This window comes from Homo sapiens, chromosome 4 (assembly GCF_000001405.40).
Source record: "Homo sapiens chromosome 4, GRCh38.p14 Primary Assembly".
Taxonomy (NCBI): Eukaryota; Metazoa; Chordata; class Mammalia; order Primates; family Hominidae; genus Homo; species Homo sapiens.
In genome coordinates, this window is record NC_000004.12 from 71,383,802 (window position 1) to 71,409,800 (window position 25,999).

General features: G+C 36.9%; 1 protein-coding gene across 13 annotated transcripts in view; it reads left to right on the top strand.

Annotated features, from left to right (window-relative positions):
• Positions 1-25,999, top strand: part of SLC4A4 (solute carrier family 4 member 4) — a 509,424-nt gene that overhangs the window by 321,142 nt on the left and 162,283 nt on the right. For all 13 annotated transcript variants that reach the window (XM_024454268.2, NM_001440628.1, NM_001134742.2 and 10 more), the window contains one exon: positions 13,776-13,852. In XM_024454268.2, the coding sequence (XP_024310036.1) occupies positions 13,776-13,852 (77 nt within the window). The remainder of the gene's footprint in view (positions 1-13,775; positions 13,853-25,999) is intronic.

Below are 25,999 nucleotides of genomic sequence, written 5' to 3' on the forward strand. Positions count from 1 at the left end.
TGGCATAATTCTTTTTATATATGTCTTTATGGATCCATTAGGCCCATCCAGAAAGGAGACGTGTGAGCCACCATGCTGTCTTCTCCTCTACTGCCCCCGCTCTGTCGCCTTCCAGTCAGAAAAATAATGCCTGTAGCAGGTAATGTTAGGCAGGTCTGTGTTGCAGAGCCAAATATCTTCACCAATGAGACTTCTTAGAACTAGATAACTTGATGTAATTTAGGAGTAGCACAGTATCAACCAAGAGCTGCAAGCATCTCAGTTCAGCTTGGGCTTTTCAATAAGAAGGAAATCCTGTGGCTGTCATAGCTCTGAACAGAATTTTCCAGAGTAACTCTAGGATCACTTGAGGTCCTGAAGCTATCACATCATTTGGACCCTAGATGGCACTTTAGCTGAATTGCGTAATTAATCTCTCCAAGGGGGAGAAAATGAGTATATGAGCAAGTGCACAATGGGACAGGTTGTACCCTACCTCTCTTCTTTCTCAGACTTACAGCACTTTGGTCTACAGTGTCTTCAGGGTCACTTGGGTGAAAGAGGCATTATGGGTCCAGAGGTGTTTGTGCTCTTCTTTTCTGGAGGCTACTGCTAGAGTTGTGGGTGTCCTATAGTCATTGATTGCTAAGAGTGTATCACTTAAATGAATGTGCAGTCAGCAAGACCTGAGGAGTTTACTGCATGAGGAAGCCAATTGAATGGCCTTTTCCCAAGTCATGTTTTGTGAGCTGTAAATCTAGAGCAGTGAGGAGGGGGCTTGAACCCAGGAGGTTGCAGTGAGGCCAGATCACGCCATTGCACTCAAGCCTGGGCGGCACAGCAAGACTCCGTCCCTCCCACCAAAAAAAAAAAAAAAAAAAATTACCTCATTTGTACACCTTTTTCCTTCAAATACATTTGTATTATTATTTCTAATCCATTATTAATTGCATTTGTAATTTTAAGTAGTAAACCTATGTCTCTATTTTTTATAATTTGCTACAAAAACCTATTTTTGTAGCAAATATTGACAGGGTCTTTTGACTTCTTACCTTGTGAAAAAAGGATGTAGGAGCATCACACACAGGGACCTGTTGGGGAGTAGGGGGTTAGGGGAGGGATAGCATTAGGAGAAATACCTAATGTAGGTGACAGTTTGATGGGTGCAGCAAACCACCATGGCACGTGTATACCTATGTAACAAAACTGCACGTTCTGCACATGTACCCCAGAACTTAAAAGTATAATAATAAAAAATTTAAAAAGTAGAAAAGAAAAACTAAAAAAAGAATGTTAGCATCCCTACTCTTTGCTGCCCCTCTTTTTGCTGCTTCCCTTCTAGACTTCTGTCATTGGTGCTTGTACTTTTTATTGTCAATATAGGTTAGATTTATATATATATATATATATATTTTTTTTTTTTTTTTTTTTTTTTGAGACAGAGTTTCACTCTTGTTGCCCAGGCTGGAGTGCAGTGGCATGATCTCGGCTCACCACAACCTCTGCCTCCCAGGTTCAAGTGATTCTCCTGCCTCAGCCTCCTGAGTACCTGGGATTACAGGCATGCACCATCCGACCCGGCTAATTTTGTATTTTTAATAGAGACGGGGTTTCTCCATGTTGATCAGGCTGCTCTCGAACTACTGACCTCAGGCAATCCGCCCACCTCAGCCTCCGAAAGTGCTGGGATTATAAGCGTGAGCCATCACGCCCAGCCTTTAGATTTATATTCTTGTCTCTTATCTATAAATTTTGTGCTTTCTCTATCAGTTTGTTCTAATGTTAGAAATACATGAATAGAATTTATATCATTATGACTATATGAATATGGTTTACCCTAAAGCTGTGTAATGAACTGTAAGTACATTTTCTTTTGGGTAGTTTTTCTTAAATATGGAGTTTTAGATTGCATTTTAAAAATTGCCTATTGTTACTACATTCCTAAGCTCTTTCAATATCTCAAGGATACTGATACACCTATGGAATCCCTTGATATCTCCTTGCAGATTCGCCCCTCCTGTTAGCTCCTCTCTTCCCTATGTTGCCCTCCTGCTTTACGAGACTGATTGCTTTCCACATCACTGCACAGTGGACATTCTGGCATTGACTTTCATTGTCATCCTGCGTTGGAGACCATATATCTCTTTTTTTCTTAGTTAATTCCCTCATTTTGCTTATCACACTGTCAGTAACTTTGTATAAAAGGACAAATTAAGGTTAAAATTTTTTGGAGTTTTTTTTTTTGGCCCCAGCTTTTCTATATATATTTTTTTCATGCTCAATTGATGATTTGGAAGCATATAGAATTCTTTATTGAAGACAATTTTCTTCCAGTCCTTTGAAATCATGTTCCCATTATCTTCTACCATTCTGTTTTGCTTAAGAGAATTCCAAAATCTGTTTCTTGTAGCTTTTCCTTTCTAGATAGAACACTTTTGGATTTTTATTTTCATCCTTAGTGTTATTAAATTTCACAATGATTCATCTGCATACAGGAATTTTTAAATTTTTTTTGGTTTATTTTATTTTTCCCTGGGTGTCCTTGTGATCTGAAGAAATATGTCCTTTATCTTTGGACTCTTGAATTCTCTTTGATAATGTTCTGGGATATTATATTCTCTTTGATAATGTTCTCTCTACAATTTTCCTTGTTCTGGCTTAGTAGAACTCCTAATAATCAGATATTGGGGTTCCTGGACCTCTTATCTATTCTCTTATGTTTTCTGGCTCTTTGCCCCTTCTTCCCATGCTCTTTGGAAAATTCTTGTTATAATATTTTCTAACAGTTTTATTGAGGTTTTTTCTTTTCTTTTTTTTGGCTGTATGTATAATCTCATACATATAGGTTTTAAGGTAATTATTGGTCTAATCTAAAATCTTTTCCTTGTTCTATTTTTCATAGCAGTCTCTTCATGTTTTGTGGATACAGTATCTTCTTAAATCTCTAAAAACTAATTAGAACTTTTATTTCAAGTTTTCTAAGTGATATTTCTTTTTTGGAATTCTTTTGCCTGCTTTTTTCTTTAAGGTATGGGTTTTAGTCTTTGACTTCCTCTCTTAAACCACTGATGGTGCTCAATTGTACATTTGTACTTAAAAAAGAATATTTGCTTTAATGTAAGCAGGAGGCATAATTCTGAGGGGTGCTCTAAGCTCAAGAATTCAGAAGACTTTGCTGTGAGATACAAACACCTGTGCTAATTGCCCTGGTCTTTTCTGGATACTTCTTGAGCAGAGCCCTGCAGTGTAAATGCTTTGGCTTCTGGGTATTCTGCCCAATGGGGTAGTGTTATACTTTCTTGAATCCATCCCTTTCCTTGAATCCATCCTTTTTAGCCTGTCCCTTACTCCTGCCTCCATTGTACTTGGCAGATTCCAATGTGAGTTTCTTCAGAGTTTTGCAGGGAAGATGTTCTCTTTTTTAACTCCATGTCCCTCTGCATGGAGTTTTACACTGACATTTCTAAATAGCATAAATGGTGTCATGTTCTACTATTCTATCTGCTCTTCTTCTTCCAGAAAGTTTTTGGAGTCTCTTGTCTATGCTGGTCTTCTATCTGTTCTTTTCATTGGTGTGGCTTTATACTTTTGTAAAAAGTGTTTTTTTGTGAATCTGTCATTTTTAAAGTATCTAGGAAGGTTGAAGAGATAAACCCAGTTACTATGTCATATACTAAGTTTACCATTTTGAAGTGGTACCCTACTTCAAGTATTTATTTATTTATTTTTTTGAAATAAAGTTTCACTCTTGTTGCCCAGGCTGGAGTGCAATGGTGTGATCTTGGCTCACCACAACGTCTGTCTCCTGGGTTCAAGTGATTCTCCTGCCTCAGCCTCCCGAGTAGCTGGGATTACAGGCGTGCACCACCACGCCTGGCTAATTTTATATTTTTAGTAGAGACGGAGTTTCTCCATGTTGGTCAGGCTGGGCTCAAACTCCTGACCTCAGGTGATCTGCCCGCCTCGGCCTCCGAAGCGCTGGGATTACAAGTGTGAGCCACCGTGCCTGGCCTAAAGTATTTTTAATTTGGATGCCTCATCAAATCAGAGAATTCTTCCACTCATCTGAATCAGTAAAATTTTCCTATGTCTTGGAGCTGATGTCTACATATATATGGAAGAGAGTAGACCAAACTTATCTAAATTAGACACTGTATGTGTCCTTGGAATGATGTGGCTGCAGGAACCTACTGAAGATCCTCTTTACCTTGGCTTAGGGACATTTACTGAAAATCACTCTGGGTCAGTGCCTGTTTGGAATGAAGGCAGCGAGATATTCATTTACTTCTGTTATGTTACACCGTTGATAGGTTTTCCCTCTTAGCCTTTAACTAGCTAGCATAGGCTTGCTGAAAGTACTATTCTTTTCTCTTTCTGCTTTTGTGAGATAAGAAGGTCACAAATTATTTTATATGGTTTCATCACATTTTGGGGAGGGAATAATATTTTCTTCATAATTGTTGTGTGTGTGCGTGTGTGGGTATGTGTCTATGTATATTAGTGTGCTCATGTATGTGTGTGTGAATATGAGACAGAGAAAGAGAACTACAATCACAAATACTATAATCACAGGGACCACAGGTTCCTTGAAGTACATTATAGGGACTTTTTTATTTAGTAAATTTTCCAGTCTTTATATGTCTTTTGAATGCTTTCTCAGCTGAGTGGAGATTTTGTATGCCTTATTAATGTATGTGTTTGTGAGAAAGAGCATGAAATATTTTTTAAGAAATGAAGCTACCTATTATATTATATTCATTCATTCATTCATTCATTCATTCATGTTGGGGTCTTGCTTTGTTGCCCAGGCTGGAGTACAGTGATGTGACCATAGCCAACTGCAACCTTTAACTCCTGGGCCCAAGCAGTCCTCTCCCCGCCCCACTGCCTCTCTAGTAGCTGGGCCTACAGGTGTGCACCACCTTGCTCAGCTAACTTTTAAAAAATTTTTATAGAGATGAGCCCTCACTGTGTTGCTCAGGGTGGTCTTGAACTCCTAGATTCAAGTGATTCTCCTGCTTTGGTCTCCCAAAATGCTGGGATTACAGGCATGAGCCACCATGCCTGGCCTAACCTACCTATTTTAGATCACAATAAAAATTATATCCAGTGTAATATTATTAGAATAAGACTCTCAATGAATTAGAGCATTTTGCTTTTGCTGGTTGAAATTGGAAAGAATTAGAAGCGGTGAAATTTTTGTATTTGATATTGAGATGTATTAGACCTAACACTGAATCTTGGGAAAGGCCCAGAGAGTAGTCAGAAAATTAAAAAACAGGAATGAACAGGGTCTAGGGAATTGAGGTTAAATAGATTATCAAAGGGACTGTAGATAACAAAGGTCCCAAAGGGCAGGGAATGGCTTTTAAAATAAGAGAATAGTATTTATGAAGCCTAATTGATGCAGGTATCTGTGATTTGACCTCTACACACTTTCAGCTCTCCATATAAGGACATCCTCTCTATTATCTTTATCCCATACATTAGGAATGACATCAGCTTTTGGCTTCAACTTTACTCACATACTTTGATGGTTATCTGGGTCTTTTGATGTCTTATTTTCTCCACATTTGCTCCACTTTCCAAGACAATCATATGCTTCGACTTATTTTAGTTTCTCCCAGCTTTTCTCTACCCCAGCCTCTCCTTTCCTTTAGCTGAGATCCTTACACTCTGCCTTATTTCTCCTCCATCCTCACATCCTCATTCCTTCTTTGCAGGGAATTTCTCTTTTTCCTCTTTATTGCTTCTTCTTTTCCCTCTGCTCAACGACAGGCTTTGGGCCAGTTTGGCAGAGTCTTTCAGTTCTGTTAGTTCTGGGCCAGCTACAAACTTCTTACTTATTTACTCTAAGGCTGTCCAAGTCTGAAGGTTCTTGGAGTGTGCACACAGCATCTCCCTCCATAGGAAATGGACTTTGCACAGTAGTGTTTATAGTAGTAACTCCAAATGGAGGTAAAATGATACCCCATCACTATTATTCATTCACAAAGTATTAAGTGCCACTAATGCCAAGGTCTGAGGCTATAACTACAATCAAGACAAACCAAGGGCCTTGGCTCTAGGCTCTTGGAGTTTACATTATATAAAATAAAAACAAACTTTAAAAATATTTTAAACAAAACAAAACAATTAAAAAGAAAATAAGCAAAAATACCCAAACTGATTTTTTCTTAGTTATGAAATTCCTCCAAAGGGCACCTTCTGACTGATGATATGTTTATAATAACTTTCCTTAGTCTAATATTTAAAATATTTTTGTCTTTTATTTAGGGTGTGGGGGATGGAAGTGGGTTGGAGACCATAATGACATGCTTATTTTATTTTATTTTTTTTCACGGGATGGGGAAGCTCTTAATAACCTGTTGCTGTCTAAAACTAGGAAACTGGTCTGACAGAAATCCAAACTCTCTTTTAGCCTTTCTTCTAGACTTTGTCAATCAAACTCATTGTAAGCATCCTAAGTGATTTGTTCTCTTTGTCCCATTTTATTCCTGTTTTTAGTGAGTGAAATGGGAAGAAATTAGAACTGAAGTAACTTGAAATATGGAAAACTAACATAGAAATAATGGAGAATAGGCTGTATGTATATTGTGGAATTTTGCAAACACTTGACTATGGCTATGAATGAAGACATTCAGAAGCCTGTGGTGTAATTCTTTTACAATTATATTGCTGCTGCCTTTAGCATCCTTCTTTGCCACAGAGCTGTGGTTTGTGACAACTATTTAATTAGAATGGCAAACAGAGTGGCTAAGTTCAATATTTCCCCCCTTCTTTTCTTTATGAAAATGAGAAAGTAGAGTAATACCATCTTCATTTTTGGAACTGCTAAGTTGGAAACCAGGAACATAACTGCCTTAAACCTCTGTAGTGATGTTATTCTGCACATAATTGGCATGAAAATAGAATATATTCTCTGTGGTTGTACATTACATTTTCTCTTTATTAGCCATGATGAAGTTTATGTGTTTATGCAAATAACACAGAGAGATAAGTTTCCCTCTCAGAGGCAGTGAGATTGGCATTATGAGATCCATGTTTACATTATGGTTTTACCACTTGCTATGTGACCATGAACTTAACCTGCTTGAAGTTCATTTGTTTATTATCAAGTGGTAATAATAATACTAACCTCACAGTGTTGATATGAGGATTAAGTAAGATAATGTGAGTTCAGGTACCTAGTACTCAAAAAGATTAGTTGACCATTACTCTCGAATATAGACATTTTCTAGTAGGTTTGTTATGCCAACAAAGGAAGAAGAAAGAACATCAATGAGTCAATGTGGGTGTAGAAAACATTAACATACATTATTCTGAAATGACATTTATTGCTAGTTTTATGGTCCCAAGCAATGAAAATCAGACCCATACCTCCAAATATTCTGACAAGAACATGCAGATCCTCTTGTATGTCTATTACATGTAAGTTATCTTAGTTATTTTTTGTGCTACAAATGTTATTTATTCTTAAGAATAAAAAAAGATTCAATTTATTTCATAGGCCATGAGATCTTTGTTTTAGCTTGTCCATGGGTTCTCTATTGGCTCATTATGGAGGTATGAGGTGAGGAGGACGTTTATGTGTCATTGTATTACATTAATATGTACACATTCAAATATCTTCTTTCTGTGCCATAGATTCTCCTCACCCCTTTTTATTGTAACTAATAGTTATAATTGCAAAGGACTTTAAATTGCTACATGTGTGCTAAAGAATAACAATGATTTTCAAACTTAGTACAGAATGTAATTAATTTTTATAGCAACAGTATGTACCTGCCAAGTGGGTACTTTGAAAATGAAGTTGTTTTTGATTGTGTGAAACTGCTTGAAAATGTGATTCTCCAAAGCTTTCTTTTTCTTATGGCCAGAAAATAGTGATATGGAAATTAATTATGATTATGCACTTGAGACTGGTTCTTCTTCTGCTTTTATTTTCTTTTTTTTTAAATGAATCTTAAAAAACACAAAGTTTCTTTGGACCAAGAACAAGCATAAGACATTTTTACACCCTGGATTTTAGGTGGAAAGGTCCTGCTGGTTGTAGCTTTGAGTGGATGAAACACCACTTGCCCAAGAAGCAACATACTTTAGGGTACACTTGTATTTCACCTTTTTGGTGCAAGGTGACATTTTTCTCTAGCATCCTTACTTGCTCAGGATTGCAGTATAATGTGTTTACATTATAGGCCAAAATCTAAGTAGAAAGCACTGATTTATTCTGACAATATGTCTTCTGAAATGTCAGATGTAAAATATTCACAAGAACGTTGTTAGGAACCTGTTTTCCAACACCTTCCCAGGTTAGCAAAAATGCCACACACCAATTTCTAATTCCCATGTATAATCTGGTTGATAATCTCTTTTGGTCCTCATCTTTTTCTTCTTGGATTTGGGTGATATGTTTCTGGAAAAGGCTGATTAAACAGTGCGTTTCCAAAACAAAATTATTTATTTGGTTGTATAGGTGAGGATTCAGAGGAAAAGCCAGATAACCTCTTTGTGTGTTTATGTGGCAAGGATGATAAGTTAATGATTTGCTTGAGGTATGATAGTTTAGAGCAGTAGCTTGGGGAGGGCAAGATTATTAGAATTATCCTCTGGCGATACCCCTCCAACGTATATACTTCTTTCAACTTAGATTCCAACTAGTATAGATACTGTTAAGATAACTGGTTTATTTAGAGTAGTGGTTCTCAATCTTCAGCATGATTCAGAATCCCCTGGAGGGCTTGTTAAAATGCACATTGGTGTCCACACTCCCCGCTCATATCCAGAGTGTTGATAGAATTGGTCAGGCGTATTCAAAGAAGAATTGGTACTAAATCTTTTGACACTATTCCACAAGATAGAGAAAGAAGGAATTTCATTCTGTGAAGCCAGCGTCACCCTAATACCCAAACCAGGAAAGGACATAATCAAAAAAGACAACTACAGACTGAAATCTTTGATGAACATAGATGCCAAAATCCTTAACAAAATACTAGCTAACCGAGTCCAACAACATATCAAAAAGATAATCCACCATGATCAAGTGGGTTTCATACCAGGGATGCAGGGATGGTTTAACATATGTAAGTCAATAAATGTGATACAGCATATAAACAGAATTAAAAACAAAAAAAATCACATGATCATCTCAATAAATGCAGAAAAAGCATTCAACAAAATCCAGCATCCCTTTCTGATTAAAACTCTCAACAAAATTGGCATACAAGGGACGTACCTCAATGTAATAAAAGCCATCTATGACAAACCCACAGCCAACATAATACTAACTGGGGAAAAGTTGGAAGCATTCCCTCCAAAACCTGGAACAAGACAAGGATGCCCACTTTCACCACCCCTCTTCAACATAACACTGGAAGTCCCTAGCCAGAGCAATCAGACAAGAGAAATAAATGGCATCCAAATCGGTAAAGAGGAAGTCAAACTGACACTGTTTGCTGATGATATGACTGTTTACATTGAAAACCCTGAAGACTCCTCCAGAAAGCTCCTAGAACTAACAAAAGATTTCAGCAAATTTTCTGGATACAAGATTAATGTACACAAATCAGTAGCTCTTCTGTACACCAACAGCGACTCAACGGAGAATCAAATCAAGAATGCATCCCCTTTTACAATAGCTGCAAAAAAATAAAATACTTAGGAATATACCTAACGAAGGAGGCGAAAGACATCAACAAGGCAAACTATAAAACACTGCTGAAAGAAATCATAGATGACACAAACAAATGGAAACATATCCCATGCTCATGGATGGGTAGAATCTATATTGTGAAAATGACAGTACTGTCAAAAGCAATCTACAAATTTAACACAAACTCTATCAAAATACCACCATAATTCTTCACTGAGTTAGAAAAAAAAATTCCAAAATTCATATGGGACCAAAAAAAAGCCTGCATAGCCAAAGCAAGGCTAAGTAAAAAGAACATCTGAAGGCATCACACTACCTGATTTCAAACTATATTAAAAGGTCATAGTCACCAAAACAGCATGATACTGTTATAAAAATAGGCACATAGACCAATGGAACAGAATAGAGAACCCAGAAATAAACCCAAATACTTACAACCAACTGATCTCCAACAAAGCAAACAAAAACATAAAGTGGAGAAAGGACACCCTTTTCAACAAATGGTGCTGAGATAATCGGCTAGCCACAGGTAGGAGAATGAAACTGGATCCTCATCTCTCACTTTATACAAAAATCAACTCAAGATGGATTAAGGACTTAAATCTAAGACCTGCAACTATAAAAATTATAGAAGATAACATTGGAAAAACCCTTATAAACGTTGGCTTAAGCAAGGATTTCATGACGAAGAATCCAAAAGCAAATACAATAGAAACAAAGATAAATAGTTGGAACTTAATTAAAGAGCTTTTGCATAGCAAAAGAAACAGCAAAGTAAACAGACAACCCACAGAGTGGGAGAAACTCTCCACATTCTACACATCTGACAGAGGACTAATATCCAGGATCTACAACAAACTCAAACAAATTAGTAAGGAAAAAAAAATCCCATCAAAAAGTGGGCTAAGGATATGAATAGACGGTTCTCAAAAGAAGATATGCAAATGGCCCAACAAACATGAAAAAAATGCCCAACATCAGGAATGATCAGGGAAATGCAAATAAAAGCCACAATGCAAAACCACCTTACTCCTGCAAGAATGGCCATAATCAAAAAATCAAAAAACAGTAAATGTTGGTGTGGATGGCGGTGATCAGGGAACACTTCTACACTGCTGAGGGGAATGTAAACTAGTACAGCTGCTATGGAAAACTGGAAAACAGTGTAGAAATTCCTTAAAGAACTAAAAGTAGAACTACTATAGCAGCACAATTCACAATTGCAGAATTGAGGAACCAACTCGAATGCCCATCAGTCGACGAGTGGATAAAGAAACTGTGGTATATTTATAGGATGGAATACTACTCAGCCATAAAAAGAATGAATTAATGGCATTTGCAGTGACCTGGATGGGATTGGAGACCGTTATTCTAAGTGAAGTAACTCAGAAATGGAAAACCAAACATCGTATGTTCTCACTGATATGTGAGAGCTAAGCTATGAGGACGCAAAGGCATAAGAATGGTACAATGGACTTTGGGAACTTGAGGGGAAGTGTGGGAGGGGGTGAGGGATTAAAGACAACAAATATGGTGCAGTATATATTGCTTGGGTGATGAGTGCATCAAAATCTCACAAATCATCACTACAGAACTTACGTAGCCAAATACCACCTGTATCCCAGTAATTTATGGGAAAAACAAAATAAAATAAAGAATTGCTCTGGTGTGAGTGTCAATAATCTGCCTTTCTAACAAGCGTACAGGTGATGTGGATATTGCTGGTCTGGAGACCTCACTGTAGAAACCACTGATTTAGAGGATTGGGAAGGATTTGTCTCTGCTTCAAGGTCTTGGGAAGTCAGGATGGGGAGTTTGGTAGGGAGGGGGATGGAAAAAGATTGAAGAATGCTGATCATCTTGCTTAGTTACTAGAAGTGTTGACTAGCAGACTCTTGCAGTGTTAAACATTAGTGAAGCTGTTAATATTAATTACTTTTATTAATGAGAATCAGAGAAAGTTAGGAGAGGAAACAGATTTGATTATTTCTTAATACTAGTCTTCTCTTCCTCATCTGGTTCCTGCATTTTTCTTGGACCTGAACCTTTCTCTTGCTCCTCATATAGTATAAATATAGATAGCCATACTATCACTGTCTTTCAGAAATGCGAAGAATGATGAGACGGTATATAAGGTTTCTTGGAAAAGCTGTCACATCAATCAAGATTACAATTATAATGAAAACCTCATTAATTTGGCTTCTACCTATTCAGATTTTGCAGCAGTTAGGACAGTGCTTGGGCTGAAATGTGCCTTTGCAGTATTTATAAAGAGTGCCTATAGCAAATCAATGACTTTAGGCTATTGGCTAGGAAATTTAAATTACTTAATGGAAAACTGCTTTAAATTTATTTCAGTACTGCCACTTACATATAAATTATTTGATGATTAGAAATTTATCTTACCTATTTATTTACATAAGCTATTTTCAACATGATTAGGATTGCTAAGGCTTCATTGCTTTAGGATTGTATAATTCAGATTTATTCACTTATTCAGGCAGAACTTTTACTCAGTTAGTCCAAATAGCTGGTTTTGTTTTTAAATGTCAAGTGCAAAATTGTCTGTACTCATCATTTTCTATTAGTTTCAATCTCAGCATTATTTGGGGGCATTCAGATTGTACCTAGTGTCTTTTGTATTGAGTGGACACTAGAAATCTAATACCTGGCTCAAAGAAGAAAATGTGCCCTTCAAAGGGGTTCTTTTAATTTTGCACATAAAGCACATTTTCAAATGTTATTTTCCTTTGAATAATGCTCTGTGCTTAAATTTTCCTAGAATAAAACACCCAACCAGGTAAAAGATTTAAGAGATCTAGGCCATGCTTACTTGATGAAATGCAGCAGAGTGGAAAATATCCTGTCTTGCCAGTTCAAGGAAATTATAATTTTTCTGATCTGGTAGTTAAAAGGAATGATATTTAAATAGCTGCTGTTATATAGGCATTAATTTATTAGGGGCAGATTTTAGTCTTTTGTGAAATTATATGTTGAGGTCTGTATCTGAAGGAATTAAAGTCTAATCTAAAGAATTATTTGGAAGCAAATGTGAAGCTATGTTAGAACTTCGGTGCTTCTTTTCAACCCTTGTCCTCTTGCTGTAAAGAGCAGCCTGAGTCAGATCATTGAGGATTAAGGATGAATGCATTACTCAGCACCCTGCAGCAGTTGGGTCAAACATCTTGGCTTTGAAAAGTTAGGTTTTTTTTTGCTTAGCAAGCCTAGAAATTTCAGGTCCAACTGCAGAATGAAAGTTCAGTATTCTGTTGATTAACATGGTCTACTTGAAAACAGCCTGTGGCTCTTCTACATGTCCTTCCTCTCTATTTGTGTATGATAGTGTCTGAAATCATTGGATGGATCACCGGTGAACCATATTGACAGCTGCTATATGGTCAGGGAGATTGGTTCCCATGTAGTATTCCGATGACATCCATCCTTTCACTTGAAGAAGAGGTTTAACATGTTAAGGGGGAAAAGAGGATATACTTATTTTATTCTGGCAAATGGGAATGCAGAGAAATAAGGCAGCCTGTGATAACACTACATTGAGGCAAAGAGTGAGGATTCTACATCAGATGCCCACTAATGAGAAATATTCTTGATCCAAGTGTTAGCCAGAGAAGGGAACACTTTGACCAAGACTTTTCAGGTTGATCTGAGTGAGTGGCATGCTAGGAAGGGCTGCAAAGGCCTGGGGGAGAGGAGGTCTGGGCCTGGCATCCAGGGTCAGCTCTGCTGAAGATGAGGAAACAGCCGCTCTCTGCAGGCAACAGGAAAAGGAAAGGAAACCAGATAGATTAGCATGTATGTAAAGGGCAATGACAAAGAGTGAACAAAACCAGGAACAATTTTATTTTTATGCTTATTGTCTTAGAAGTTTCTTTCAAAGTTTAGCTTACCTTGAAACTGAACCAGGCAGTAAGTCCTAAACAAGGTATTTGAGATTTTACATACTTTACATTTAACTATGTTTGTACTCCAACCTGGACTCTGGAAAACTCTTCAGAAGAATCCTAGTGTGGTTAAAAGTATCATCACCATTTCCATCATCATCTACTAATGTTTATTAAGTATACCACCAAAGTCTTTGTGTTATTGAAAAGAAGTCTTTAATTAGAGTTTACTTGTGTTTTTCCAGGTAGCCCAGCCATGACCCATAGGAATCTGACTTCCTCCAGTCTGAATGACATTTCTGATAAACCGGAGAAGGACCAGGTAAGCAAAAAATTCTTGCTTCTTTGAAATGTAAGAGAACGTATATCTAAAAGATGCTGAGAAAGGATTAGAGGTGATGGTTGCTTCACTTAAAATGGACCTTTACGTGCAGACAACAGTTTGCACTTTCCTGGGCAGAAGGAGAAGCAGTGTGTGAAGGGAGCTGGAATCAGAAGGGAAAAATGTGCGTTTACTTCAGCTGTTGCAGATGCATCACTTGGGCAATTTAAATCTTAAAGCAATAGTTGTCTCAGCTTTAAAATAGTAATAATCCCTGCCTTCTGTTTATTCTAGGGATTAAACGAGATAACTTATGAAAAAAATACTTTGGTAAATTATAAAGAAATACTTGCCTGGCACAGTGGCTCATGCCTGTAATCACAGCACTTTGGGAGGCTGAGGTGGGCGGATCACTTGAGGCCAGGAGTTGAAGACCAGTCTGGCCAACATGACAAAACCCGTCTCTACTAAAACCACAAAAATTAGCCAGGCACGGTGGCACAGGGCTGTAATCCCAGCTACTCCACAGGCTGAAGCATGAGAATCGCTTGAACCCGAGAGGCAGAGGTTGCATTGCACTGAGATCGCACCACTGTGCTCCAACCTCAGTGACAGAGCGAGACTTTGTCTCAAAAAAAAAAAAAAAAAAGAAATGCTAAGAAATGCTGAAATTGTTGTTAACTTTTGGGGGATACTTTAGGGCAAGGTAATGACAGCTAAGTTCTCACTAGCTATATATTTGTTTGTCTATTAAAACATATAGTTGAATGAAGAGCAATCAGGTTTTGAATATCTGTTTGCTTTCTTTGGAAGAGAATATGGTGTAAACTGGGCCATTTTTGCCCAGCTACGTAAATATCTCTGCAAGAAAATTATATTTTAAGAATATAGTATATGGAAAAATGATGCTTCCTAAATGAAAAAATTTCAAAGTTTTGAAGAAATGAAAGCAATATATTTAAAAAAATCATAGAAATCCTAAGACTGTTTCCCCAGGATTGAAGGAGAAGTAGCATATATTGGAAAGAAGAAGGAACATGAAGCAAGAAAATCTGGTCTTGCTACTTGTTCCAAAACTGGCTAGTTGTGTGATGATGGACACTAGTTTTGTTCTTTGCTAAGTGGAAACTATAATACATAACTCACCTCAGAAAATCAAATATCTGATCCTTGCTCTTTTAACTTACCATTTTGTCTTTTGATATAGTAGAAGAGATGGTTCTGGTTGGCTCCATGCTTGATATGCTAATTGTACAGTTAGTCCTCCATATCCGTGGTTTCATATCCATGGATTCAACCAACCATGGACAGAATGAAAATAAAATTGTGTCTGTGCTGAACACATACAGACTTTTTTTTTGTTGTCATTATTCTCTAAATAATACATCATAGCAACTGTTTACATAGCATTTATATTAGGTATTATAAGTAATCTAGAGCAATTTAAAGTGTATATGAGGATGTGTGTAGGTTATATACAAATAGTATGCCATTTATATCAGAGTCTTTAGCATTGTCCAATTTTGTTATCTGATGGAGGTTGTGGAATCAATCCCCAACATATACTGAGGGATGACTTGTTCTTTCTCTTTCTGTCTTTTAAGTGGGTGAGTTTGAAGATTCTTCTTTTCACACTTTGCTGATTTTTTTCAAGAAGCCATATTCATGATGGTGTTCCTCTTTAACTGACAGCACTTGTAGTAGTCATAGAGGTTTATAGGCCTTGGTGAATTCTAGAAAGTACGGGAAGGGTGTACATTCCATTCCATTCTCCCGTCCCTTCCCCTCCCCTTCCGTCCCCTCCCCTCCGTTCCCCTCCCCTCCCCTCCCCCTCTCCCTCCCTCCCTTCCTTCCTTCCTTCCTTCCTCCCTGGTAGTGTCTTCATCATCTCAGATCTGAATTGCTAGAAAAGCTGTTGGAATTGATCCCTTGTCCCCATTTTTTCTCAATTCAATATACTTTTTACATAGTTGCCCTCATTTTTCTACTCTAGATTAAAAATGGTTAGTGGCTTCCCATCATTTTAAGTTCAGGACTTCTTGATGACCTTTATGATGCTCTGAAATCTGATGTTATCCGTCTTGTCTTCATTTATTCATTTGTGTTCCCCAGAAGAGGGACTCTGTTTAGGTCAGGACTAATTTCTTTACTTACCTCCCACTTTACATTGAGATAAATTCTTGACTCCTTCAGTTGCTCCTTCAGATGCTAATGTGGATTGTCACCTTCCTTTCATCTTTCTACCTCTTGAAATGATCAGGAAGAAGAGCATTTAAATATGGGTACATTGGTAGATACATACCTGTAGTGGAAAAGGGAGAACTCAGGCCACTAGAAGTTTTCTTAAATTTATTTCGCACATTTTGTCTCCACTCATTGCTTACCAAGCCATGCTGATTATTTGCAAGGTTTGCCATGAGTCTTAATACTGGTTAAGGCAGTGTACTAATTAGCTTAGGAATATCTTGTTGATGGAGTTCTTGAGGAAGCCTTCTTTTATTAAGGGCAGCTCTCCTTTTGCCAGGAATTTGGCAAGAAGCAGCTGGTAAATGCTGACAGATAAATTTACTAACTTATTGGGTCTTTTCATATCTGGGCATATGCAGAAGAAATCTGATGGCTTAAGATGCATATTACATAAAATTTTGATTCCAGTAGTAGAAGAAATATGTGGAACATTTTTTGTGGGTATTGATTTTGTTATAAAGCCCATGGGAATGGAGTCTTTAAAACCAGAATCTTCAGTGCCTATCACTAGCATCTCATAGTCATCAAGGTTCATGTTTAGATGAAGCGAGGAAAATTTAATTCAGGAATGTTCCTTTTGTTTTCAAAGCCAGCAAAGGAAGGTTGATGAATATATAATTATAAGACCAACTATTAATCTAATTTGTATCTATTACAGTGTATATAGTTAATCCAATGAGTTCTTCAAGAAAGGAAGAAACTCCATTCTCTCTTCCTACCAGAGTTTGAAGAGAGGCTTTTGTAACTAATTCATAATCTCTTCTACAACCAAAGGTACAGGTACAGAAATCAAACTAACATTTTCAGTTTCTATACCTACTATTTTGGTAACTTCAAATACAAAAACTCCTGGATCATTTTAGGGCAAGAAAAAGGAAAGTGGATTTGCAAGTAAGATGAAGCTGTGATAAACTCTGGCTTTTATTTTTTTTTAACCTGTTTCTTCTCTGTTTGGACAGGAAAGAAAAAAAAAGGTTTCCAGGCTTATGTTTGTTTTGAGAAAGCTTTTATAATTAATTAGCCAGTGTCCTGGAAGTGATCTTGGCAGTAAACTCAAACTTGTCTTGTGTACTTGTCCAAGTTGGCCCCAAAAACTTCCATTTGACCAGGACTGAAATTTCTGATTGACTGATTATTCTGCCTGGATACAATTTGAACAGTTGTGATGGTGCCTTGCAACTTCCTGGAGCTACCTAACTTCTTAGTAGCACAAAGAATGGGTTCAGAGTTATGAAGAGGAACAGAATTGCTCTTTCTGACAGCTACATAGTGACAGAATTTGAGGGCATATTTTTTATGAGATTCTGTTTTGGGAAAACAGAAGAAACAAATCTGTGGGCTGCACTTTTTCTTTCTGGCTTTGCCAAGCCTATGTGCTTACGATTTCAGTAGCGGCTGCTTTATTGAAAAATGGCTTAAAATAGTTAACAGCAGAAGAAGAGCATAGCCAGAATTTAGGTGATTCAATGCTTCAACCATATTCCAACTTGGATGTTATATTTATTAAGCAGAAAAACACCTGTGGAGAAGTAGATTTAAAAAATACATCTGGAGTTCATCTAGTTGTAAATCTACATAAATAATCTCTTCTATTTTGTTGCTATGGAGTATTTTTCACATTATCTAATTATGTTTCTTGATTGCCTTTGATTTGCTTTTCCATTTCTTCTTATTCTTTTTCTGTTCTTTTAAAAATTTACATGTGAGGTGGGTGCTTATCAAATGCAGTGGATTTAGTTACAGTTTTCATGTGAATATGGCTTCAGCTATGAGGATAAGAAAGAGCTTTTCTCTTCATTTTACCCCTTAGCTTTAACTCTTGTAGAAATACTGTGCTTAGTGGTGCAATGGCTTTAAAAATGTTGACTTTTTCCAGGTTTATTAATAATGCTATAACATCTCACAATTACATGTCAACCTCAAGTGAAATTGTAGTCTGTAGATTGCAGTGGATGCAGTAGATGTAGAAATAGCCTGCAGATTCTCAGGGGGACACTTGAGGTCTACATAACCTTGTAACTGCTTATCTGGTTATTATTTCTGTGATATTCATTATTTAGCTGGCTAATCTGAGAATCTATTCCATAGGTCTTGTGGTGGAGTTTTGCCTAAGGTTACTTTCTAAAGCATATTAGAATCATTTTTAGCACTGTCTGTTGCCTATTATGTTTAAATATATTTTGCTGCCTTGATTCTTGTGTTTGAAGTCTTGGTCTTTTAAGGAAATAGACCTGAATTTAAATATTTTGTCAGAAAGTATGCGGATGAAACCATTAACCATGTATAAGTTTAAAGTTGCTAAGCCATAACTATCTTAAAATGAAATCTAGAAGGAAACATCCTGTGATTATTGGGGGAATAACCCCCAATCCTTTTCTTACACATACATGATATAGGAGTGAGTCAACCAAGTCCACTGAGATGACTTTTTCTCATGATTTTGAACATAGATTTCCATCCCAGGGCTCACATAAAGCTTCTCTTAGCATTAATAGTTATTTCATGCTCACAGTGAAGGAAAAGTACAAAAGCACCTCCTTTTCCTTTCCATGGCTCAGTCAAAAAAACCTACAGTTCACACTGAATGTGGGTGGTCTTACTTCACCCCTCAGAGGAGGTACAGTGTCTAAGAAAGATTCATATTTTCTGAGGTTATAATAATTGTCTTTAGCATGTTTTCAGGGAGCAGTGAGACATTGCTGTGTTAGAGGAGCTCCAGATGGAATCACATCTGTGAAAACCTAAGAACAAAGGCATGTTGTGAGAAGGTAGTTAGGGTACTTAGAGGTCCTTAGTCACTACAGTTTTGGTGACTTTGGTGAGCATCTCTCTGGCTCAGCACCTACAGCTTTCCTTCAGCCAGGTGTCCCTGAGGGGAACTTGTGTAGCCATGCAATGATATCCTTGGGCCCCTTTCACAGGGAAACAGCTTGTGCTTAGATAATTAACAAAACATGTCTGTCATTATTTTTTCCCTGTCTACAAGAAATTTGGCTTAAGATAGCTTCCTTTTCCCATTCTATGCTTCTCCCATATTCTTAAAGCTTAAACAGTTGACAGGGATTAGTAGGGTTTGAGAAGCATTGATATTAATACTGATTTAAAGAAGGTATGTATTTTAAAATTGGGACAGTTGCATCTCCGCATTTATTAATGTTGTACATTCTTAAAAGCTATTTGTCTGGAATAGAAAACTAGCATTCATTTAAGAACGGGTTTTGTATCAGCTTTAAACTGAAGTAGATGATCCTGTATGAAGTAAACTGAACTCTATCTCGTGTATTATTTTAGGAAAAAAGGAGCCTTTTGTGAAATTTAGAGCTATGGTTTTAAGTAACTGCGCTACAATAAATTTGAACTCCTAAAACACCCCATCACTGCATGCAGCTATGATTTGAATTCATTCATTCAAAATGTATATTCTGTGCTAGAAAATGTTCTTAGTTGTGGGTTCCAGAAGTGAATGAAACAGATAAATCTTTTGACTCATGGAACTTCCATACTTTTGGGAAGAGACAGACTGTAATCAAGAAAAACAATAAATACATAGGATAATTTCACATAATCAAAAGTGCTATCTTGAAAATAAAGCAGGGTAATGTGGAGAGGTACAGGAAAACTATTTTAGGTAAGAGGGTTAGCCAGTAAGGAGAGGATCTGGTGAGAGAGGTTTCTAGGCTGAGCAAAAAGCAAGAGTAGAGGCCTAAGGCAGAAATGAAGATGATGTGTTCAAGAAACAGGAAAAAAAATATCATAAGTGGCTGGAGCAAATGTAGCAGGTGTGCAGTGGTAGACAAGTCAGGAAAATAGGCCGGAGGACCTTTTATTTTATTCTGAGTGCGGTGAGACACTCTCTTAGGATTTTTACCTAGAGTTTGTATGTTCTGATTTACATTTTAAAAAGCTCACTGGAGATGCAATGTGATAGGATGGAGAAATTTGTGAATGTGTTGGATCGTCTGGTGTTATTCCTATATTAAGTATTGTATGAATATCCCAGTGCATTAAAATGAGAGCTCACAGACCCATAAGAGCCCATTTCTTAATGTGTTAGCCATAGCCATTAAGACCTTATTACTATCAGCAAAGGAAGTTCTTCTGTGCCATAGAAATATCGTAAGAAAGAAAAAGAGTTTCCCAGTTAAAAGGTCATCCATGTACTGTTAATTATATTACATTATTAATGAGTAAATATTAATTATTGAAATATTTAATGCACTAGAAGTGGGTGTAAGCCACCAAGAATAGTGAGATTGAATTTTTGAGTAATTATATTTGCACCTGTGGTCCTCTTGTTATTACTGTTGGCTAACATGAGGCATGCCAACTGGCTAATGACACATGATTCATGAAAGCTTCACTGGAGTCCTCTCTGAAGAATGGTAACAGGAAACCTTCTTAGTCTTTGTGGTTCAGAAAGGAGCATCAGGATGTGTAGGAACAGGACAGAACAGCCAAAAAGGGGCTCTGTGCCACATTCTTACCTGTTCCTATGAAAGAATTGAACTCCGATTGCACTGCATCCCTGTATTCAACATTTAACCAAAGAAATTGTAGCTATTGCATATCTTAATAAACTGGCATGTTTTACATTTGATGTCACTTTTTTTCTCTTTTCAATATGTAGCATTCTGCCAGTATGCCAATACCAGGAATATACCTAGAATATATTTCAGAGAACAGTAGCATGCTGTCAACAATAATCTTTGATGGACGTATACTCTCACATCACAAGTTACTTACATCTGACAGAGACTTCATAAAAGAAACGAGCATTTTTCTTCTTGGAAGTGGCAAATTGTTACAAAACCAGAAAACAGCAATACCTTGTGATGAACACTCTTGAGTACAGTTTTTAAAACTTTATAGAAATTGTAAATATATATAGGGAATCATTCTTTTTTTTTCTTTTTGAGACAGAGTCTCACTCTGTTACCCAGGCTGGAGTACAGTGGCACAATCTTGGCTCACTGCAGCCTCCACCTTTTGGGCTTAAGCTATTCTCTTACCTTAGCCTCCTGAATAGTGGGGACTACAGGTGCACACCACCATACCCAGCTAATTTTTTTTTTGTGTATATATATATAATTTTTTTTTGAGACATGCAGTTTTGCCATGTTGCCCAGGCTGGTCTCGAATTCCTGGGCTCAAGCGATCTGCCTGTCTTGACCTTCCAAAGTGCTGGGATTATAAGCGTAAGCCACTATGCCCCACCCATGGAATCATTCTTTACTTACTATAGTAACATGTTATTATCCACAATATTTTTTAAAACTTTAGAATTTTCTGATTCAAAATATACAACAATGCTGTAAAATTTAAACAAAGCAAAAATGAATAAAATAAAAAGTGAAAATTCTTAAATTAAAATCCTTCAAAACAACTGCCATTAGCAGCTTGATGTTGAGTTTAATGAACTTTTCTGATAGATGAATACTTATATATTTCTATATAAATAATAAAAATGTGATTGTATTGTTCTAAAATTTGATTTTTTTAAACTAACAATACCATGGACACCTACCTTATTCTTCTTAAAGGCTATATAGTATATATGAATCGTATTTTATTGATTCTATCTTCTATGACTAGATATTTTCAGTTCTTTGCTGTACAAATAAGCCTTTAAGAAGTATCCTTATTGTAATTTTTCTGCATTCTTTCATGAGTATTTCTGGAGGAGAAATTTTTATAAGTGGAATTGCTGGATTACCGTGTATTGCGAATTTAATTACCTTCCCAAAAGATTATATGAGTTATGTTCTAGATCTTTAAACACTTTATTGAATCCGCCTCCACTGCTAAGATACTATTTGCTGGTCAGATTTGAGTTTATTCTTTATGTTTCACTCCACTAAAAGCTTAGTGATTCAAAATGAAAAGAATCTCAGTATCTAGCATTTGCCTCCCAGCTCACTTTGGGGGCTTTTTGTCAGAAGCTTAAAGTATAGAGATTAAAACTGAGTTTATTTTCCTGATCTAATTGGACGTCCGAGCTGGCTAATCACTTGTATTCTGAAGTAAGGAGGTGAAAAGTGCAGTGGCCATATACTTGCTTTGACTGAAGATGTTGCTGTTCCCAGCTCTGAGAGGGCTTTTCAGGCTCTGTGAGAATTTCCTTGGCAACCAAAAAATGGCTTCATCTCAAGAGCCCTTCTTGGTGGTCAGCATTTGGAACAAAAAGAAAAATTGCAAAAAGAGTTGGACAAGTGTTCCCTTTGAATATTATTCAACACATTTGCAGCTTGGATCTACATCTCCTTCCTTTCCTTCCCCCAACCCCCAAGAGAATTTTAAATGCATATATGCCAGACTGTAAAGTTAGTTAAATAAAAAGTTTTATACCTTATATGGAGTGCTTTATTAGGAGCTTTGAAGGAGTGTTGTCAACTGAAATGGCTAATAAAAAGATGAGCCAACACTTTTTTTTTTAACATGTTGGGGCATATTTGCAGATTCTACTGCTCCCCAATTTCCCTCTTAATAGGGAATCTCTGCAGAGTAAGTTTATGAAGAGGTCACACCATGGGAGGAAGTTTTTCCTGTTCTTCTTTAGAAAGAGAAGAGCTCCCCACTGTTTCTAGCTCACTTGTCTGATTGATCCAGTGGCTGGTTGATTTATGTGTCTCAGCAGAATCTCATGACCTTATCAGTCACCAGCAGAGCTTCCTGGTTTCTCCATGTGTTACCCACCAATGGGCTGGTTTTACTTCCTAGAACTGAACTGAAATGAAAACAATGATTCTTTTTTTTTTTTTTTTGCCACCATGTTAAAAGGACAGCAGTAATGTTTTCTACAATCTGAAAGCCAGTGGTTAATCATGCCAAGATGACATTCCTGACTAATCAGTGTTCCATGCATACACATATAAGAGGGTAGGAAGTAACTGAGTCATTGCATAGGGAGTGATTGTAAGCTTTGAACTTCAAAATTAGCTGTACTCTTCATCATTCAGTAGCTGTATCTGATAGTATTGAGTCTATTGCTACGTAAGCAATAATTAACAACTAGCATAGATTGGACATCTAATTACAACTAATGCTTTGGGGTTGGTACTGTCAACTCTATTTGACATATTGGCAAACTGGAGGCATGAGGAGATTAAGTAATTTCCCTAAAGTTAAATAGCATCTAAATGATAGAGCTGCATCCTGGTCCTAGTGCCTGTGCTCTTAGTGGATATAATGAGTTCTGCCTAGTTGGATTAGGGTCTTTTTAGGTCCCTGAAAGCCACTGTGGAACAGACACGTATTCAATCGAAGTTTCTGGCTTTTGGTTTGTCTTTGAGGCAAACATCATGCTGAATAGGCTAATTACCAGAATTACTATTAAAAATGAATAATAAAAAATTTTTAAGGGTCTTATGGTGACTGGATGGATGTTTCTGCTGCCACAATGATTAAAATACTCAATGTTATGTGCTGATACTCTGGATGTCATTGGTGAAGGTCAGTGAAAAAAGACTGATATAATAAAAAAGTATAATCTATGATCTCAGATTGTGAGTTTATATCTTAGCTGATTATTCACACCGAATAAACTGTGGTGCTGACAGTGAAGTGCAGCTGGGGTTCAGTGAAAGACACAACTGTGTGGGCCAAAGCCATCAATCAAAGAGGAACCAGGGACTTTAGAAGCATCTTTCCATTCTAGAGAACAAAAATAACAGAATAAAAGAGTTTTAACCAAATAAAACATTCTTCCTTGGATAAAAGGTTAGGTAAGAAATGGGAGAAATAAATTGGAATGCAACTATCTAGAGTTTAGCAATACAAGTAAAAGACTTAGTTCATCTAATAAATGGAAATTATTGTGGCTTTTAGAATTATTTGAAATAATAGCCAAACTTTCCAAATTTGAGGAAATACAACATTTCAATGTTTTTTTTTTTTGTAGTTAGTGTGACATGTAGAATTAGTGAAAGTAGATTAGTTAGTTGACTTGTCCACAGACCACAATGAATAGAGAGTTACAACACACTTAATTTACAGATCTTCACTTGTGCTTTGCTAAACCCCATGGTTCTTTGACTTTCAGGCTGTTAAATATTCATTCTCACTATAGATAGGGTCAACTCTAGTTCATTTAGTCTGATAAATGCACATCATTATGACCTTAAAATTTTGTTCTGGTAAGAGGAAAAAGTGATTATTATTGAACTTTTTTATTAATAAGCTAAGATATAAACTTACAATCTGAGATCATAGATTATACTTTTTTATTATATCAGTCTTTTTTCACTGACCTTCACCAATGACATCCAGAGTATCAGCACATAACATTGAGTATTTTAATCACTGTGGCAGGAGAAACATCCATCCAGGATCATAGGAATAGCTTTGAAGACTTAAGTAAGCATAGTAAACCTTAACTCTTCTGAACTTCAGTTTTCTGATTCATAATAGAGATATTATACTTCAGTCTGAACTGCTTTTTCTACTGAGTTGTTTTGTGAAAAGGAAAATACTTAATACACTTCAAAATGTTATATAAATCTTCATCATCATTGCCATTTTCATTATTTAAATGGGCTACTGCTTTTTTATTTTTGGTTTTGCTTTGCAGTAAGATTTGGTGGGATGAAAGTCCATTTCATTTAGGTATCATTCCTTATCTTTTAAATTTGCATTGTTAATTTGGCTCTTTGGAGTTCATGCTCTTAACTTCTGCTCTATACTGCTCTATCCACACTGTAAAGAAATGTATGTCCGATTGTCATTTCATGAATCTTATTGAATGCACATTACTCTTGTACCCAAATTTCTCTTTTTCTCTCTACTTTTCCAAGTCTTACCTTTACTTCAAAACTTGTCAAGTGTTACTTTTTCTTTATATCCATCCTTGAATATTCCAGCTTATGTTAACTACTCCTGTTTTGAATTTCCAATACCATCTAGTACTTATTATTTTCATCACTGATGTGGTTTGGCTGTGTCCCCACCCAAATCTCAACTTGAATTGTATCTCCCAGAATTCCCACATGTTATGGGAGTGACCCAGGGGCAGGTAATTGAATCATGGGGGCCAGTTTTTCCTTTTCTATTCTCATGATAGTGAATAAGTCTCATGAGATCTATGGGCTTATCTGGTGTTTCTGCTTTTGCTTCTTGCTCATTTTCTTTTGCCACCACCATGTAAGAAGTGCCTTTCACCTCCCTCCATGATTCTGGGCCTCCCAGGCATGTGGAACTGTAAGTTCAATTAAATCTCATTTTCTTCCTAGTCTTGGGTATGTCTTTATCAGCAGCATGAAAACTAACTAATATAGTAAACTGGTACCAGAAGTGGGGTGTTGCTGAAAAAATACCCAAAAATGTGGAAGCAACTTTGGAACTGGGTAACAGGCAGAGGCTGGAACAGTTTGGAGGTCTCAGAAGAAGATAGGAAAATGTGGGAAAGTGTGGAACCTCTAGAGACTTGTTGAATGGCATTGACAAAAATGCTGATACTGATATGAACAATAAGGTTCAGGCTGAGGTGGTCTCAGATGGAGATGTGTAACTTGTTGGGAACTGGAACAAAGGTGACTCTTGTTATGTTTTAGCAAAGAGACTGGAGGCATTCTGCCCCTGCCCTAGAGATACGTGAAACTTTGAACTTGAGAGAGGTGATTTAAGGTATCTGGCAGAAGAAATTTCTAAGCAGCAAAGCATTCAAAAGGTGACTTGGGTGCTGTTAAAAGCATTCTGTTTTAGAAGGGAAACAGAGCATAAAAGTTCCGAAAATTTGCAGCCTGACAATGCAGTAGAAAAGAAAAACCCATGTTTTGAGGAGAAATTCAAGCCAGCTGCAGAACTTTGCATGAGTAGCAAGGAGCCTAATGTTATTCCCCAAGACCATGGGAAAATGTCTTCAGGCCATGTCAGAGACCTTCATGAAAGCCCCTCCCATCACAGGCC